Here is a 19,013-nt window from a genome sequence, read left to right as displayed (position 1 = left end):
ATATCAGTTCCCAAAATTAATACTTTTACAAGTTCTTTACTTCAATCTCTGAACATAAATTGTGAAGATTTCATTTTAATATGGACCTTTATCATTCCCCAAATAATACTTTTATAATTTCTTATGCCTGTCTTTACTCTCTTAATCCTGTTATCTTCATAAACTGAGAATGTACATCACCTCAGGACCACTATCGTGTTAAACTGTACAAATTGATTGTAAAATGTGTGTTTGAACAATATGAAATCAGTGCACCTTGAAAAAGAACAGAATAACAGCGATTTTCAGGGAACAAGGGAAAACAACCATAAGGTCTGATGGCCTTTGGGGTCAGGCAGAATACAGCCATATTTTTCTTCTTGCAGAGAGCCTATAAACGGACATGCAAGTAGGGAAGATATTGCTAAATTCTTTTCCCAGCAAGGAATATTAATAATTAATACCCTGGGGAAGGAATGCATTCCTGGGGGGAGGTCTATAAACGGCCACTCTGGGAGTGTCTGTCTTATGCGGTTGGGATAAGAACTGAAATACACCCTGGTCTCCTGCAGTACCCTCAGGTTTATTAGGGTGGGGAAAAAAAATCCACCCTGGTGAATTTGAGGTCAGACCAGTTCTCTGCTCTCCAACCCTGTTTTCTGTTGTTTAAGATGTTTATCAAGACAATATGTGCACAGCTGAACATAGACCCTTATCAGGAGTTTTTGATTTCGCCCTTTGCCTTGTGATCTTTGCTTTGCCCTTTGCCTTGTGATCTTTGCTTTGCCCTTTGCCTTGTGATCTTTATTGGCCTCAGAAGCATGTGATCTTTGTTCTCCTTTTTGCCCTTTGAAGCATGTGATCTTTGTGACCTACTCCCTGTTCGTACACCCCCTCCCCTTTTGAAGTCCTTAATAAAAACCTGCTGGTTTTGTGGCTCAGGTGGGCATCACGGTCCTACTGTTATGTGATGTCACCCCTGGAGGCCCAGCTGTAAAATTCCTCTCCTTGTACTCTTTCTCTTTATTTCTCAGCTGGCCGACACTTAGGGAAAATACAAAGAACCTACGTTGAAATATTGGGGGCGGGTTCCCCCAATACTTAAGAGACATGTAAAACCAAAGTACATGTTTTTAGAAGACTTCAAAAGAACATGAAAGAACAAACAGAAAGATATATACTAAGATTCTGGATGATCTGATCAGAAAAAAATGACCTCTCACTGCCTTGAGGCTGAGCATCTTTTCATAGGTTTGAAAATCATTTATATTTCCTTTTTTGAAAGCAGTTCCTCCATAATCGTTATTTTTGCAATAGTTATCTTTTTCCCCCTAGATTAAGTTCTGATGGTTCTTTATTAGAAAGATCAGCCTTGGTCTGTGACATGAGCCACAGTATTTTCCCTGGTTTTTCTGAATTTTAAATTTTGTGTATGTACATGTAATTTTTTGTAAGCGATGTGGTCTTGCTATGTCACCCAGGATGGACTGCAGCAGCTGTACACAGGCATGATCACAGCACACTGCAGCCCCAAACTCCTGGGCTCAAGTGATCTTCCTGCCACAGCCTCCCAAGTAACTGGGACTACAGACGTATGCCACCCTATCAGACTTATATATGTAATTTTGGCCATGCTGTTTTTCCCTTTATGTTTAGGTGAATTTACCAGCTTTATTCATACAGTTTCTATGTTATGAGTCATTCATTGGAAAGGACTTCCCAAATGTAATGCCTTTTTTCAGCCAGCAGCTGTGGTGCCTGAGACGCACACCCAGGCAGGTGAGCTTCTGAGTCCATGTTCTTAACCATTATGCGTAGCTCTCAAGTCAGAGAGACCTGCAGTTGCTTTCACCATTAGTTTAGTGTGAGTATCTAAGAAAATATGTAACTGTCTGGTGCTTCTGTACCATCTAATTTAAAAGACAGGATAATCATTAGTTATGTCATTCAAAACCTCAGAGACCAGGACTCTAGATTTATAAACCCATGAATTATAGGCACCTGACTGCACAACTAGGTAGTTAAAATCACTACCAGGAATTGATTAGTAACTCATTTCACTTGCTGTAAAGAGGGTGTCCTTGATATCAAGGCTCATTCCAATGGAACCGTAGGATAAATATTAGCCACACTGAACATTTCTGGGTGCCCACTGTGTGCTAGGCACTGTCCTAGCACCTGGTGTTATGAGCTGAACTGTGTCCCCCCCCACCAAAATTCAAATGTTGAAGTCCTAACCTTCTGTACCTCAGAATGTGACTTTATTTGAAGACATGGTCTTCAAAGAGGTAATCAAATTCAAATAAGGTCATTAGGGTGGGCCTTAATCCAAGATGACTGAAATCCTTATAAGGTGAAATCTGGACACAAAGACAGACATGCACAGAGAAGACAATGTGAAGAGACCTGGGGAAGAGAGAGAGGAAGAAGGCAATCATCTACAAGCCAAGGAGAGAGGTCTAGAACAGATACTGAAGTATTAGTTTAAGACATCCTATTAACAAAAATTCCAAGATAAAAATTCTATACTACATTTTGGGTGAGGAAGTAGTATTTTTATGACAGCTGGGAAGCAGAATCAGGAACATGCTTTTGTAATGTGTGCCTAAGGTCAGAGGCTTGTCTCTGCCAACAGCTTCTGCAATTCCATCAGAAGATTATAGAATTTAAAAGATGTGTACTAGTTTACTTCATAAAGCAACACTTTATAAATTTTAAAGAAACATTTTGGCAAATTTTATTTTTCATTTGCATAGAACCTCTTCCATGTCACTTGAAATAGTAACATGGTTTAGAATGTCACAGGAAGTTAGTTCACTCTGTAGAACTCTGAATAGGCTTTCACATAGCTCCTTCTGTCATCAGACATATGAGCAACTGCTGTCATCAATCAAGTACCTACTGAAGCACCTTTAATTAGGCATTTAATCTACTATTTTTAGCTCACTTAATATTCATGATAACCCAATGATTATGCCCATTCTCCAGATACAAAACAGACTGCGAATGTTTAGCTTAGTTTTCAAAGATTAGAGAGCCAGGACACAGCAAGATCCCGGAAGTCACAAGCCCTCACTCTTCCTACACACCCACAGCGGGGCTGACTGCCTATGGCAGGAGAACCAGCGGCCTACCTGATATCCACCCCTTCTTCATTACTAATAACCCCAGTTTTCTTTAGCAGCAACATACCTATCTAAAAATCCTTAATTTCACTAAAGTATCTTTAGTGGAGGTGACCGTTTGTAACAGGTTCTAGTCAAAGGTAGAGGTACTGGGAAGCGCATTCCTTCCCAAAGGAAAGGCAAAGCTGACTTGGCGAAAATCCTCAGCACCTACACTCTTCCAAGAATTCAGCCTGTGGAATTCAGCCAACACCTCCTGACCATGAGAACCAATTCCACACTCAGGCTACAGAATTCAGAAAGAATCTAGCCCTGTGGATGTCCTGCTGCAGGAGACAAATTCAACCTCATTTATTCAAATACTCTAGTGTTTGAACAGAGTTTTCTACTACTTATTGAAAGTTCCCTAATTCATCAAGAAAGAATTTCAGAGCCTGAAGCAGTATAGTTCTTATGGCATAGGTCACATTTCTTTCCCAAATCAGATTAAAAACAAACAAACAAACAAACAAACAAACAAAACCCTGGAGCTATGAGCATGAGCTAACCTACTGGGCTCTGTGATAAAAATGAACTTAGGAAGGACACACAAAAAATGTTAGTTATCTGTAGGCAGGCAGGAGAAATGGGGTAGACGGTGACAGCGATGACAGACAAAGTTCTCAAAAATATCTTTTTACCTTATCTTGATGTTTTTTAACTATGAATATAGTCTACCCAAACCATGTCACTTTTTTAAAACAGCAAATTTTTAAAATAATCACAGAAGGATTTATTAGTCTTATATCTTCTCTGTCAAGAAATCAACAAAATAGTTACCTTGCTTGGGTCTAGGGCATAATTCAAGGTGCTTTTCTGTAATCGTCTTCTCTTCAGCTGTTAATGACTGTAGGCAAAATAATAATCATGGAATTTATGTGACAAATGCTAAAAAAAAACTTTTATAAAATATTCAAAATCTTAAACTACACTCTCCTTAACATATTCTTCTCTGATTTCCTTTACCAATTCACCAATTTCAGTAATCCCAAAGCATGTACTCCTTATATATTTATAAATTCATTCTATTTTTCCTGAATCTAAAGAGATCTGACTGACCAAAACGTTTCCCATTAACATTCAGTGTAATATCTGCTCATACATGTGACTCCAACTGCCTATGAGGTACTCATTACTACTCATACCCAAATTATCTTGAATTTGTAATAGCATTACTCTGTAAGTTACCACAAACACAAAAATTATCCAGAATATCTCATTGCCAAAAGATTCTGAATATAAAGGCATACCTTGTTTTATTGTGCTTCATAGATAAAGCATTTTTTTACAAATTGAAAATTTCTGGCAATCCTGTGTCAAGCAATTCTGTATGCCATTTTTCCAACAGCATCTGCTCACCTATAAACTTGTGTCTCTGTGTCATATTTTGATAATTATTCCAAGATTTCAAACTTTACCATTATTATTAAATCTGCTATGATGGTCTGTGATCAGTGATCTCTGGTATTACTACTGTAACTGATTTGGGGTGCCACAGTCAAAACCAATATAAGAGAGCAAAATTAATAAATGCTGTGTGTGTTCTGACTGCTCCACCAACCAGCTGTTCCTCCATCTCTTGCCTTCTCCTTAGGCCTCCTATTCTCTGCAACACACCAATATTAAAATTAAGTCAATTTAATAACCTTACAATCGCCTCAAAGTGCTCAAGCAAAGGAAGAGCTGAATGTCTCACACCTTAAATCAAAAGCTGGAAATGGCCGAGCACAGTGGCTCACGCCTGTAATCCCAGAACTCTGGGAGGCCAACGCAAGTAAATCACCTGAGATCAGGAGTTCGAGACCAGCCTGACCCACATGGTGAAACCCCATCTCTACCAAAAATACAAAAATTAGCTGGGCGTGGTGGCGGGCACCTGTAATCCCAGCTACTCGGGAGGCTGAGGCAGGAGAATCACCTGAACCTGGGAGGTGGAGGTTGCAGTGAGCCAATATCGCACCATTGCACTCCACCCCGAGCGACAGAGACAGACTCCCTCTCAAAAAAAAAAAGAAAAAGAAAAAAGAAGCTGGAAATGATTAAGCTTAGGTAGGAAGGCATGACAAAAACTAAGATAGGCTAAAAGCTAGACCTCTTGAGCCAAACCGTTAAGCCAGTTGTGAATACAAAGGGAAGCTCTTGAACGAAATTGAAAGTGCTACTCCAGTGAATACACAAATGATAAGAAAGTAAGACAGCATTATTGCTAATAGAAAGTTTTAGCAATCTGGATAGAAAATTGAATCAGCTATAACATTCCCTTAAGCCAGAGCAGAATCCAGAGCAAGGTCCTAACTCTCTTCAATTCTATGAAGGCTGAGAGAGGTGAAGAAGCTGGAGAAGAAAAGTCTGAAGCTAGCAGAGGTTGGTTCATGAAGTTTAAGAAATCATCTCCATAACATAAAAGTACAAGGTAATGCAGGAAGTGATCCAGAAGATCTAGTTAAGATCACTGATGAAGGTAGCTACGCTAAAAAACAGACTTTCAATATAGATGAAAGAGCCTTATATTAGAAGATGATGCCCTTTAAGACTTTCGTAGCTAGAGAGAAGTCAATGCTTGGCATCAAAGCTTCAAAGAACAGACTGATACTCATATTAGGGGCTAATGCAACTGGTAACATTAAGTTGAAGCCAATGCTCATGTATCATTCTGAAAATCCTAGCGCCCTTATGATAAATCTACTCTGCCTGTGCTCTATAAATGTAACAACAAAGCCTGGATGACAGCACATCTCTTTACAGCATTCTTTACTGTAATACTTTAAGCCCACTGTTGAGATCTGCTCAGAAGAAAAAGATTTCTTTCAAACTATTACTGCTGATTGACAATGCACCTGGTCACCCAAGAGCTATGATGGAGAAGTACAAGGAGATGAATGCTGTTTTCATACCTGCTAACACCACTTCCATTCTGCAGACTATGGATCATGGGGTGATTCTGACTTTCAAATCTTATTATTTCAGAAATACATGTCATATGGCTGTAGCTGCCACAGATAGTGACTCCTCTGATGGATCTGGGCAAAGTAAACTGAAAACTTTCAGAAAAATATTCACCATTCTATGTGCCATTAGGAACATTCATGATTCATGACAGAAGGTCAAAATACAGCATTAACAGGAGTTTGGAAGAAGTTGATTCCAACCCTTGTGCATGACTGAGGGGTTCAAGACTTCAGCAGAAAAACTGATGTGATAGAAACAGCAAGAGAACTAGAATTAGAAGTAGAACCTGAAGATATGACTGAATTGCTGCAATTTCCTACGAGTTGAATGGATGAAGAGTTACTTCTTACCAATGAACAAATAAAGTAGTTTCTGGAGATAAAATCTACTCCTGGTGAAAATGCTGTGAACATTGTTGAAGTGATAACAAGTAATTTAGAATATCCTATAAACTTAGTTGATAAAGCAGTGTCAGGCTTTGGAAGGATTGAGTCCAATTTTGAAAGAAGTTCTATTACTGGTCAAATGTTACCAGCATCACACGCTACTCAGTAATCTTTCATGAAAGGAATAGTAAATAGATGTGGTAAACTTCACTTTTGCCTTATTTTAGGAAACTGCCACAGCCACCCCAATCTTCAACCACCAACCATCTGATCAGTCAGCAGCCATCAGCATCAAGGCAAGACTCTCCCCCAGCAAAAAGATTATACCTTGGTGAAGGCTCCTATGATTGTTAGCATTTTTTTTAGCAACAAAGTATTTTTAAATTAGGGTATATACATTGCTTTTTTAGACATAATACTATTGCACTTAACAGACTACATTATAATATAAACATAACTTTTATAGGCACTGGGAAACCAAAGAATTCATGTGATCACTTTATTGCAATATTCACTTTATTGTGTTGGTCCTGAACCAAACCTGCAATATCTCCAGAGTACGCCTCCAGAGTAAACATGCATTTCTTGTGAAGAGTAGTATGCTCAATGGTTTCATCTTCTGAGAACATTCTTAGTAAATATCCTTCATTTACAAACAAAGAAGTAGAAAGGTTCTGCATGGATTAAAGAGGTTCAGGTGTGAGCTGGGCATGGGGGCTCACACCTATAATCCCGGCACTCTGGGAGGCGGAGGTGGGAGGATCACTTGCAGCCAGGGGTTAGAGACCAGCCTAGGCAACACAGCAAGACCCTGTCTCTACAGAAAGATTTTTAAAAATTAGCCAGGCAGCCGGGCACAGTGGCTCACGCCTGTAATCCCAGCACTTTGGAGGCCAAGGTGGGTGGATTACCTGAGGTCAGGAGTTCCAAACCAGCCTGGCCAACATGGTGAAACCCAGTCTCTACAAAAAATACAAAAATCAGCCGAGTGTGGTGGCACGCACCTGTAATCCAAGCTATTCGAGAGGCTGAGGCAGGAGAATTGCTTGAACCCGGGAGGCGGAGGTTGCAGCGAGCCAACATAGCCTCACTGCACTCCAGCCTGGGTGACAAAGTGAGACTCCGTCTCCAAAAAAAAAAAAAAATTAGCCAGGCACGGCGGCACATACCTGTAGTCCCAGCTATTTGACACGCTGAGGCAAGATAGCCTGAAGGATGCCATGAGCTATGATTGCGCCACTGTACTCCAGCCTGGGCAACAAAGTGAGACTCTGTCTCCAAAAAAAATAAATAAATAAATAAAATAAAAAAAAAATAAAAAATAAAAAGGTGAATACTAACTTACTAACTTGCCACAATTATTAAAGGAATTCAAGGAATGAAAGGCAAGAAAAGGAGTGTACCAGTTACAGTGTTCTGAAAGAATAAGAAAGGGAATTACAATGAAATGTAATTACAATGTTCTGAACACTCAGGATTTCCTCTTTGGCATTCAGGGAAAACAATTCTACAGATACTTTACCGGATTCCCAGAAGTGTTCTGAAACCCTTCTCCACACCTGAGCCATGCTTCAGAGAGAGAGGCAGCTGCCCCTGCTGTCCTGAGACCTGCTCTTCTGACCTGCAGTGGTCTTTCTCCTGGAAAGGATGGGCATTCTGTATTCCAACTCCTTTTTCTCTGTGGAGATGATTTTTAAAAGAAAAATCGAAACAAAAAAACAAAATCAACTTCATTAAATAGACATTCAGTTCACAATTTACAATCTGAAAACCTAGAAGTGGCATCAGTAAAGGTATAGTTTTTGAATGTCTCTAAATCTTCACATAAAGAGCAACCGGACAGCAAAGCCAAAAACATAGAAACACAATTAATCAGCAAACTCCAAACACAAGTGGGTAAAGACAAACCACCAACCCTCCAAAGTCTGGCATGGTATCAGTACCTGAAAGGAAAGAAGCCAAGGAAAGTAAGAGAGTCAAGGAGGCCCCCTGAGAACCTAGACATCAGTGCTCACTAGGAAGCAAAGCAAGCAACAGATCTGAGAACAGTGTCTGATAGAACTGAGAAGAGCGCCTGAAACTAGGTGAGAGCAGGGGCTCTACCGTAAGAAGATGTGAAGAGATGAGAGCAGCCTGGGCCACCTGAAACTGGTCACCCTGGACTCCCTTCTGGACCCGTCACTGAGAAAGTACTGGAAGTGGAATCCACTCAGCAGCACAGGGGTGGCAGACACACAGAAAAGGTCCAGATGAGCAGAGTCAGGGAGAATCTACAAGACAAATACACAAGTGGCCATATTTTTACAAGACCCATGAAAACAACACAAGGTATAAAAGCTATGCTGGGCCGGGTGCCATGGCTCACACCTGTAATCCCAACACTTTGGGAGGCCAAGGCAGGAGGATTCCATGAGCCCAGAGGTTCAAGACCAGCCTGGGCAACATAGCAAGACCCCATTTCTAAAAAAAAAAAAAAAACTTTTTAGTGAGCTGGGCATGGTGGCACACGACTGTAGTTCCAGCTACTCAGGAGGCTGAACCAGGAGGATCGCTTGAGCCCAGGAGTTTGAGGCTGCAGTGAGCTGACTGCACCACTGCACTTCAAGCCGGGCAACACAGTGAGAGGCCACGTCCTTAAAAAAAGAAAAATAAAAGCTATCCTGAATCCTGCTTCCTTCTATCATTTCAGAAGACACAGACATAAAAATAAGCAACAGGAAGGTATAAAAGCTAAATGCCGTATAATTATTATTAGGGAAAAACAATTAGCTAGGCGTGGTGGCATGCACCTGTAGTCCTAGCTACTCAGGAAGCTGGGGCAGGACAATCGCTTGACCCCGGAAGGCAAAGGTTGCAATGAGCCGAGAGCCTGCCACTGCACTCCAGCCTGGTGACAGAGCAAGACTCTATCTCAAAAAAAAAGAGATGAGGCCTTTGGAGGTGACTAGAACATGAAACCAGAGGCCCCACAAATGTGATTACTGTCCTTAGAAAAATTAGTCAGCAGCCTAGGCAACGTCGTGAGACCCCATGTCTACAAATTTTTTTTAGAATTAGCCAGGCATGGTGGCATGTGCCTGTAGTTCCAGCAACTTGGGAGGCTGTGGTAGGAGGATTGCTTGAGCCCAGGAGGTCAAGGCTGCAGTGAGCCATGATTGCACCACTGCATTCCAGCCTGGGTGACAGAGCAAGATCCTGTCTTTGAAAAAAAAAAAAAATAGCTGGGTGTGGTGGCATGTGCCTATAGTCCCAGCTATTCAAGAGGCTGGGGTGGGAGGATCACTTGAGCCTGGAAGGTCAAGGCTGCATCACTGATTGTGCCACTGAATTCCAGCCTCAGTGGCAGAGTGAGATCCTATCTCCAAAAACAAAAAGCAAGAAACTACAATGATATGCCACTTCACACCCACCAGAATGGCTATTAATAAAAAAAAAAAAAAAAAGAGAAAGAAAATGACAAGCACTGCCAAGGATGTGTAGCAATTATAACTTTTGTGCATGGCTGGTGGAAAAGTAAAACGTTGCAGTTGTTAAAAATTATTTGGTAGAGCCTCAAAAGTTAAACACAGCTGGGCACGGTGGCTCATGCCTGTAATCCCAGCACTCTGGGAGGCCAAGGCGGGCGAATCACAAAGTCAGGAGTTAAGACCAGCCTGACCAACATGGTGAAAACCTATCTCTACCAAAAATGCAAAAAATTAGCCGGGAATGGTGGTGTGCGCCTGTAGTCCCAGCTACTCGGGAGGCTGAGGCAGGAGAATTGCTTGAACCCAGGAGGCGGAGGTTGCAGTGAGCCAAGTTTGAGCCACTTGCACTCCAGCCTGGGCAACAAGGCGAGACTCTGTCTCAAAAAAAAAAAAAAAAAAAAAAGAGGTTAAACACAGGGTAGGGCACAATGGGTCACACCTGTAATCCCAGCACTTTAGGAGACCAAGGCAGGAGGACTACTTGAGCCCAGGAGTTCAAGACCAGTCTGGGAAACATAGCAAGTCCCTAAAAAAAAAAAAATTAGCAGGGGTGGGAATGTTCATCTGTGGTCCCAGCTACTCAGGAGGCTGAAGCGAGACAATCGCTTGAGCCCAGGAGTTTGAGGCTGCAGTAAGCTATAATCACGCCACAGTTCTGAAGCCTGGGCAACACAGCAAGACTCTGTCTCTAAAATAACATAACATAACATAACATAACATAACATAACATAACATAACATAACATAACATAACATAACAAACATAACATAAATTAAAATAAAATAAAATAAAACCACCAAGATCTAGCAATGCCACTGCTCGGTATATACCCAAAACTAAAACAGGGCCAGGCGCGGTGGCTCACGCCTGTAATCCCAGCACTTTGGGAGGCCAAGGTGGACAGATCACCTGAGATCGGGAGTTCGAGACCAGCCTGACCAACATGGAGAAACCCCGTCTCTACTAAAAATACAAAATTAGCCAGGCGTGGTGGCGCATGCCTGTAATCCCAGCTACTCGGGAGGCTGAGGCAGGAGAATCGCTTGAACCTGGGAGGCGGCAGTTGCGGTGAGCCAAGATTGTGCCATTGCACTCCAGCCTGGGAAACAAGAGTGAAACTCTGTCTCGAAAAAAAAAAAAAAAAAAGGCTGAGGAAGAAACTCATAATGCCTTACATTCCAGTGGTTTGAAGCTGTAAAAAGGAAATCCTGAACAGAAGAAGAGGGTGCTGATCATGAGACACAGCAATCAGGATTCCAATCCCCTCCACTTTAACCAGTTCTATCATTAAGTCCACCATTCAATCATGTTCAAGTCTCTAACACTACACACCATAAAAATCTCTCCCTCACCTTGACGCCATCTAGCTTGCTCACTCCCTTCTCCAGCAGCCTTATAGAGTTATCCATTTGAATATCTTATTTATTTTTCCAACCACTGCAAATTCTTTACTAGCCTTTCCATCAAAATTGTTTTCCCTTTGATTATTTTTTTCTTCAGTTTTTTATTTTGTTTCCCCTTGGTTACTGTATTTGTCCACATTATAGATGTACAAGTATATTTGTTACCTACATTTTAATAATATGTAAATGACAACTGAACATGAAATTCAATAAACTGGTTTGAAATAAGGAAGTTCTTACAGGGTAATGTACAAAGAGAAATATTTTCAAGATCTTGGTAAAAGTACATACAAAACTCAGGCACAAAGTAGGTTTCGCTTTTTTCCATAAATAAACTAGCACTTGGACAAGCGATATTGTATACTGCTTTTCTTTGGTCATAGCATTTAACAAGTACAGAATATATCTAGAGCTATACAAACTGGACAGGTAACTTTCAAATAAATTATTCATGTGTGTCTAAATATTTACAGAAATTACACCTTATTTATTCTCTTAACATTATAACAGGCAAGGCATGGTGGCTCATGCCTGTAACCCCAGCACTTTGGGAGGCCAACGCAGGCAGATCACTTGAGCCCCGGAGTTTGAGACCAGCCTGGGGAACATGGCAAAACTCCATCTGTCTAAAAAAGAAATACAAAAATTAGCCAGGCCTGGTGGCGTGTTCCTGTAGTCCCAGCTACTCAGGGGTCTGAGGCAAGAGGATTGCTTGAGCACAGGAGACCCAGGCTGCAGTGAGCTGTGATCGCACCACTGCACTCCAGCTGGGGCAACAGAAATAAGTTCCAGTCTCAAACAAACCAACAAAAAACAAAAACAAAAACAAAAAACACACGCACAGAAAATTTAAAAAAATAAATAGAAAAAAGTCATCATGGTCTATTCATCCACATTCCAAAAATATTTACTAAATACAAAATTACGTATGGGGTACCCAGCTACCAACGTGACATAACTATTTTAATGTTTTCCTACCCTATTAGAGTCTTCTGATTAGACATTATCTTCCAGTTATAACTGTAAAATAGACAGTGTTGTATTCTGCTTTTATTTAAAATAATAAAATATTTTCTTTACACAGAGGTTCCACTCATTTTAAGAATGGAAACTAAAAAATATATGCAACGCCAATGGAAATCTTATTTACACATAAGAATACATAATCTGCTTTTGATTTTATCAGAATGGAAAATATTATTCTTACCTATTTTTCAAACAACACACCCATGTAAAACTAATGACATTAAATTTAAAAAAAATAATGTACAAATTTTTAAATATATATAAGCAGTTGTATAAAAACGGGCAGGAAACAGATCCAAATGCTTATATTATCAAAATGCTTATGTTATGCTGATTATAGGTTTTATAGATTTATGGGGGATATTTTCTTTTTTCTTTTTTTTTTGAGACTGAGTCTCGCTCTCTCCCCCAGGCTGGAGTGCAGTGGCGCAATCTGGGCTCACTGCAAGCTCCACCTCCCGGGTTCACACCATTCTCCTGCCTCAGCCTCCCAAGTAGCTGGGACTACAGGCGCCCCCCACCACGCGCGGCTAATTTTTTGTATTTTCAGTAGAGACCGGGTTTCACCATGTTAGCCAGGATGGTCTCGATCTCCTGACCTCGTGATCCACCCGCCTCGGCCTCCCAAAGTGCTGGGATTACAGGCGTGAGCCACCGCGCTGGGCCTATGGGGGTATTTTCTATTGTAGTCTTTATTTTCTAGCAGCTCCACAATAGCTGTGTATTATTTTTATGATTAGTAATGAGAACAATTGTTTAAAACTGTTCTAGGCCGGGCGCGGTGGCTCATGCCTGTAATCCCAGCACTTTGGGAGGCTGAGGTGGGTGGATCACAAGGTCAGGAGTTCAAGGCCAGCCTGGCCAATCTGGTGAAAACCCGTCTCTACTAAAAATACAAAAATTAGCCGGGTGTGGTCGCGGTGCCTGTAATCACAGCTACTCAGGAGGCTGAGGCAGAAAATTGCTTGAACCCAGGAGGCGGAGGTTGCAGTGAGCCAAAATCGCGCAACTGGACTCTAGCATGGGTGATAGAGCGAGACTCCATCTCGGGAAAAAAAAAAAAAATTCTGAGGAAAACTGAATTCCAATCTAGACTTCTATTCCCGGCCAAACTATCAATCAAGGGGAAAAAATAAAAGATATTTTTAAAACGTGCAGGAACTTTACAATTTTACTTCTCGTGATTCCTTTATTAGGAAGATACTGGAGAATGTATCTCAACGAGAAGGAAAGAAGACATCTTATCTGACTAGTAATGAACATAGAATTTAAAAATTTAAGTACAGGGAGATGGAGAACAATGCAAAGGAAAATATGTAGCAATTATTTACTCTGGTGCAACAAAAATGTTCCTCATGAACTTTATAAATAAATCATAATCAATGATTGAAGAAAAAATTGTAAAATCATTTGACAATACAGTATTTTTAAATAGGGAAGGTAAAGATACTGTGCTATAACATGAAATATATCTGGTCATTATCCCAGGTTCCTGCCATAGAACTCCTACAACTCTTGCAATTTCCTAAGTGATAGGAATATCTTTTGTTATTTATAAAGAATTCCTTTGATAACTCCTAAGTTTATCCTACTGAGGTCACTTAGGGTGGGGCCCCTAGATAACTTGAGAATGGGGTCACTTAGCAAAAAGGCCAAGTGATTAGAGGATTAGTGGGTTGGTATTTTCAGCTCCACTCAGTAACCTCTGAGAAAGGAGGAGGCTGGAGATCAAGCTTTATAAAAACACTTTAACAGCCAGAACCATGGCTTACTCCTTTAATCCCAACACTTAGGGAGGTCGAGGATGGAGGATCTCTTGAGCCTGAATTTGAGACCAGCCTGTGCAACACAGCAAGACCTCATTTCTACAAAAAATACAAAAATTAGCCAGATGTGGTGGCATGAACCTGTGGTCCCAGCTGCTCAGGAGGCTGCGGTAGGAGGATAACCTGAGCCTGGGAGGTCAAAGCTGCGGTAAGTCAAGGTCAAGCTACTGCACTCCAGCCTGGGTGACAGAGCAAGACTGTATCTCAAAAAAAAAAATGAACAATTAAAAAAAAAAAACAACTCTTTAACAAGATTCGATGAGCTTCTCAGTTGCTGAACATACAGAGGTACTGGGAGGGTGGTTCGCCCAGAGAGGGCGTGGAAGCTTCAAGCACGCCACCTGCCCTCAACCTGTTCATGTCTTACTCTATCCATCTCTTCATCTGGCCGTTCATGTGCTTCTATTGAATTCCTTTATAATGTCCATGTCTTGCTCTATCCATCTCTTCATCTGGCTGTTCATCTGCTTCTACTGAATACCTTTATAAAAAATCAGTAAAGGTAAGTATTTCCCTTACTTATGTGAGCCAACATAGCAAATTAATCGAACCTAAGGAGGAAGGTTTGGGAATCCCTATTTATATTCAATTGATCAAAAATATGAGTGACAACCTACTACTTGCAATTGACCTCTGAAGTGGGGCCAGTCTCGTGGGACTGAGCCCTGAACCTGCGTGATCTCACACCATCTCCAGGTAGAGAGCATCAAAATTGGATTAAATTATAGGATACCCACTTGGTGTCTACTGGATGCTTGGTGTCAGGATAAAACACCCCACACATCTGGGCATAGAAGTGTACTGTGTTAAGCATGAGAGAAGAGGGGAAAACAGTTTGTTTTTCCTTTTTATGGGTACCTAAGTGAAAAGTCAAGTTTCTGTAACTCATTTGAAGTGGTAAAATGTTGCATATGTAGACTGTGGTAAGTTACATATGTATATTATAATACCTAAAGAAGCCATTAAGAAAACTAAAATGGGCATGGTGGCTCATGCCTATAATCCCAGCACTTTGGGATTTCATAAATACTGCTGTCCTCACCTTTCAATGTGTCCGCATGCCTAATTTCTCCTAATCGTGAGATAAGAACCCAGATTTTAGCTGAACTAAGGAGCAAAAAACCCTGCATCACTACGCACGTGCCCAGGAAAAAACTGAAAAAGGCCCTAACCTCTGAACTCTGGATCATCTCGAGGCGCTGCCCAAGGAGGAAATGAAGGTTAAACTGGCATTACAAATTGCCAAAGCATATGTCTCAACAGAGTCCCTCCGTAAAAGATGACAGACTTACTGGCTCAAAGCATTTAGGGTAATCTCTATCCAATAATCCACAGACAACTAAACTAACCACATAATGTCTTCATTAGCTACACACGACAGGCAACACAAACTTTATTAAATTCATCCAGGAAAATCATTAAACAAAATTATAGCACCAACAACAAACAGAAACCCTGGGGAGGGGATGGGAGAATTTAATATCCAGAAATTAATATGAATTACTTCAAATCATACTATTTAAAACGTCCAGTTTTCAAGCAAAAATTATAGGCCAGGCGACGTGGCTCATGCCTATAACCCCAGCACTTTGGGAGGCCAAGGCAGGTGTATCACCCGAGGCCACGAGTTCAAGACCAGCCTGGCCAACATGGTGAAAGCTCATCTCACTAAAAATACAAAAACTAGCCGGGTGTGGTGGCGCGCACCTGTAATCCCAGCTACTCAGGAGGCTGAGACTCGCTTGAACCCAGGAGGCAGAAGTTGCAGTGAACCGAGATCGTGCCATTGCACTACAGCCTGAGCAACAGAGAGAGACTCCATCTCAAAAAAAGAAAAAAAAATACAAAAATTAGCCCAGCGTGGTGGTGCCTGCTTGTAATCCCAGCTACTCAGGAGGCTGAGGCAGGAGGCTGAGGCAGGTGAATAGCTTGAACCCGGGAGGTGGAGGCTGCAGTGAGCTGAGATCATGTCATTGCACTCCAGCCTGGGCATCGTGGTGAGACTCTGTCTCAAAAAATAATAATAATTATAACACACATGAAGAAACAGGAAAGCATGATAAGGAAAAAATGTAGTCAAAAGAAAATGTCCCTGAGAGGAGCCAGAAGTTGGACTCACTAGACAATGACTTTAAATCACTTACTATAAATATATTCAAAGAAATAAAGGAAACTATATCCAAAAAGTGAAGAAAATTATAAAAATGCCTCACCAAATAGCGAATATCAATAAAGACACAGAAATTATAAAAAGACAGAACCAAACAGAAATTCAGGAGTTGAAAACTATAGTAACTGAAATGAAGAATGCACCAGAGGAGCTCAACAGCAGATTTGGCCTGGCAAAAAAAGGAATTCACAAACTTTAAATCAGACAAATGAGATTATCCAAGCTGAGAAACAGGAAAAAAAGAGTGTAAAGAAAAATGAACAGAGCCTCAGAGACCTGTGGGACACCATCAGACACACAAATATATGCATAATAAGAGTCTCAGAAGGAAGGAGAGACAGAGGTAAAAAGAATATTTGAAGAAACAAAGCCCAAAATGCTTCCTCAATTTAATGAAACATACAACCAAGAAGCTTAAAAACTCCAAATAGCATAAAATCTAAAGAGATCCACCCTAAACATACCATGTCAACTGGTGAAAAACAGAGAAAAAACTATGAAAGTAGCAAAAGAAAATATACGTCATGTACAAAACTCATCATATACAAAGGATCCTCAATAAGTGTTAACAGCTGCATTCTTGACAGAAACCATGAAGACACCCCCCTACCCTGAGGAACAGCAGAATACACATTATTCTAATGTAAACATGAAACATTCTCCGACAGACCATGTTAGGCCATAACTCAAGCTTCGATAAATTTAAAAGGAGTGAAATCATAGTAATACTGTTCTTAGACAATAATAGAATGAAATTTAAACCTTACAATAAAAATAAAATGAAAATTCACAAGTATGCAAAAATTAAACACACTCCTAAACAGCCAATAGATCAAAAAAAGAAATCATGAGAAAATTAGAAGATAACTTTAAAAGGAATGAAAACAATATACACTAAAACCTATAGATGCAGCTAAAGCAGTACTTACTGAGAAATCTGTAGCTGTAAATGACTACATTTAAAAAGAAGAAAAATCTTTAGTCAATAAAACTTCCATCTGGCAGAAATAAATGACAGAGAGAATAGAAAAACAACAAAGAATATAAAAAAAAAAGTTAGTTCCTCAAAAAGATCAACAAAATTGACAAGCTAGGCTGACCAAGGAGGTTTGGGGGCGGGGAAGAGAAGATTTAAACTACAAAACTCAGGAATAGAAGAAAGTGAGGAAGCACTACCAATTTTGCAGAAACCCAAAAGATTACAGAGAACATTATAAGGAAATAATATGAACTACATACCAACAAATTAAATAACTAAAATAAAATGAACAAATTCCGAGAAAGACAAACTAGCAAAACCGACTCAGAAATAAAAAACTGATCAGAGAGCTGTAACAAACAAAGAGATTGAGTCATAACTTTAAAACTTCCTACAAAGAAAAGCTGAGGCTCAGAGTACAACGGTGATTTATACCAAACATTTTAAGAAACAGTATCTATCCTTCACAAACTCTTCCAAAATACAGAAGAGGAAATACTTCCTAATTCACACCATGAAACCAGTATTACCCTGATAAAACCAAAACATAACAACGAAGCACAGAGCAAAACTGTTTATGAATATAGATGCAAAAATCCTCAACAAAATACTAGCAAACTGAATCCAGCAACATATACAAAGAGTTATACACCATAACCAAGAGAGATTTTTCCCAGGAATACAAAGTTAATGTAATATTGAAAATTCAATCAATGTCATATATTAACAAAATAAAGGATAAAAACCACAGTATTGTCTCAATTAGATGTAGGAAAAGCAACTGACAAAGGCCAACAACTATTCCACAGTAAAAACTCAACAAACTAGATATAGAAGGTTATTTCCTCAACCTGATAAAAATGTATATACAAAGAACCCACAGCTAACATCATACAGAATAGTTAAATACTGGATGCTTTATCCCTAAAAGAAGGAAAAAGAAAGGATGTCAACTCTTCCCACTTACATTCAATATTTGACTGGAGGTTCTAGCCATGGCAAGGAGAAGAAATAAAAGATGTCTAAATTGGAAGTAGTAAATTCATCTCTACTGACAGACAGCATGGTATTTTGTTTTCTTTCTTTTTTTTTTTTTTTTTAAGAGACATGGTTGGCCAGGTGTAGTGGCTCACGCCTGTAATCCCAGAACTTTGGGAGGCCAAGGTGGGCGGATCATGAGGTCAGGAGTTCAATACCAGCCCGGCCAACATGGTGAAAGCCCGTTTCTACTAAAAATACAAAAATTAGCCAGGCATGGTGGCACACGCCTCTAATCCCAACTACTCAGGAGGCTGAGGCAGAAGAATAGCTTGAACCCAGGAGGCAGAGGTTGCAGCGAGCTGAGATGGTACCACTGCACTCCAGCCTGGGTGACAGCGCAAGATTCTGTCTTGGGGGGAAAAAAAGATGGTCTCACTCTGTTGCCCAGGCTGGAGTGCAGTAGCACGATCATGGATCACTGAAGCTTCTACCTCCTTTAAAAAAAAAAAAAAAAAAAAAAAAGGAGAGGGTCTCACTCTGTTGCCCAGGCTGGAGTGCAGTAGCACAATCATGGCTCACTGAAGCTTCCACCTCCTCGGCTCAAGCAATCCTCTTGCCTCAGCCTCCCGAGTAGCTGGGACCACAGGCATGAGCCACCACATCCTGCTAATTTTTGTGTTTTT

The 19,013-nt window shown here is 40.5% G+C and overlaps 1 protein-coding gene across 51 annotated transcripts in view, besides 1 other annotated feature; it reads right to left on the bottom strand.

Moving 5' to 3' along the window:
- SPIDR (scaffold protein involved in DNA repair) overlaps positions 1-19,013 on the bottom strand; it is a 475,429-nt gene that overhangs the window by 448,289 nt on the left and 8,127 nt on the right. For 32 of the 51 annotated variants that reach the window (NR_148202.1, NR_148205.1, NR_148204.1 and 29 more), the window contains exons 2-3: positions 8,001-8,156; positions 3,924-3,990 (exon numbers count right to left, since the gene is read on the bottom strand). The exons of 1 other annotated variant lie outside the window; for it this stretch is intronic. Coding sequence is in view for 27 of the 50 variants with exons in the window: in XM_017013268.3 (XP_016868757.1) it covers positions 3,924-3,990; positions 8,001-8,156 (223 nt within the window). In the remaining 23 variants the exon portion in view is untranslated. Of the gene's footprint in view, positions 1-3,923; positions 3,991-8,000; positions 8,157-8,581; positions 8,800-19,013 lie in introns of those variants that run through there. 18 more of the 51 variants (NR_148203.1, NM_001352947.1, NM_001282919.1 and 15 more) reach the window with 5 other exon arrangements.
- Positions 8,490-8,549: an enhancer, noted in NCBI's record as "active region_27325". NCBI's record gives its function as "activates an Ori minimal core promoter by ATAC-STARR-seq in GM12878 lymphoblastoid cells {active_cell/tissue: GM12878}" and the evidence as "EXISTENCE:reporter gene assay evidence [ECO:0000049][PMID:35858748]".

Source organism: Homo sapiens, chromosome 8, assembly GCF_000001405.40.
Source record: "Homo sapiens chromosome 8, GRCh38.p14 Primary Assembly".
Taxonomy (NCBI): domain Eukaryota; kingdom Metazoa; phylum Chordata; class Mammalia; order Primates; family Hominidae; genus Homo; species Homo sapiens.
The sequence above is the reverse complement of the archived record's forward strand: the minus strand, read 5'-3'. Positions and strand labels throughout refer to the sequence as shown.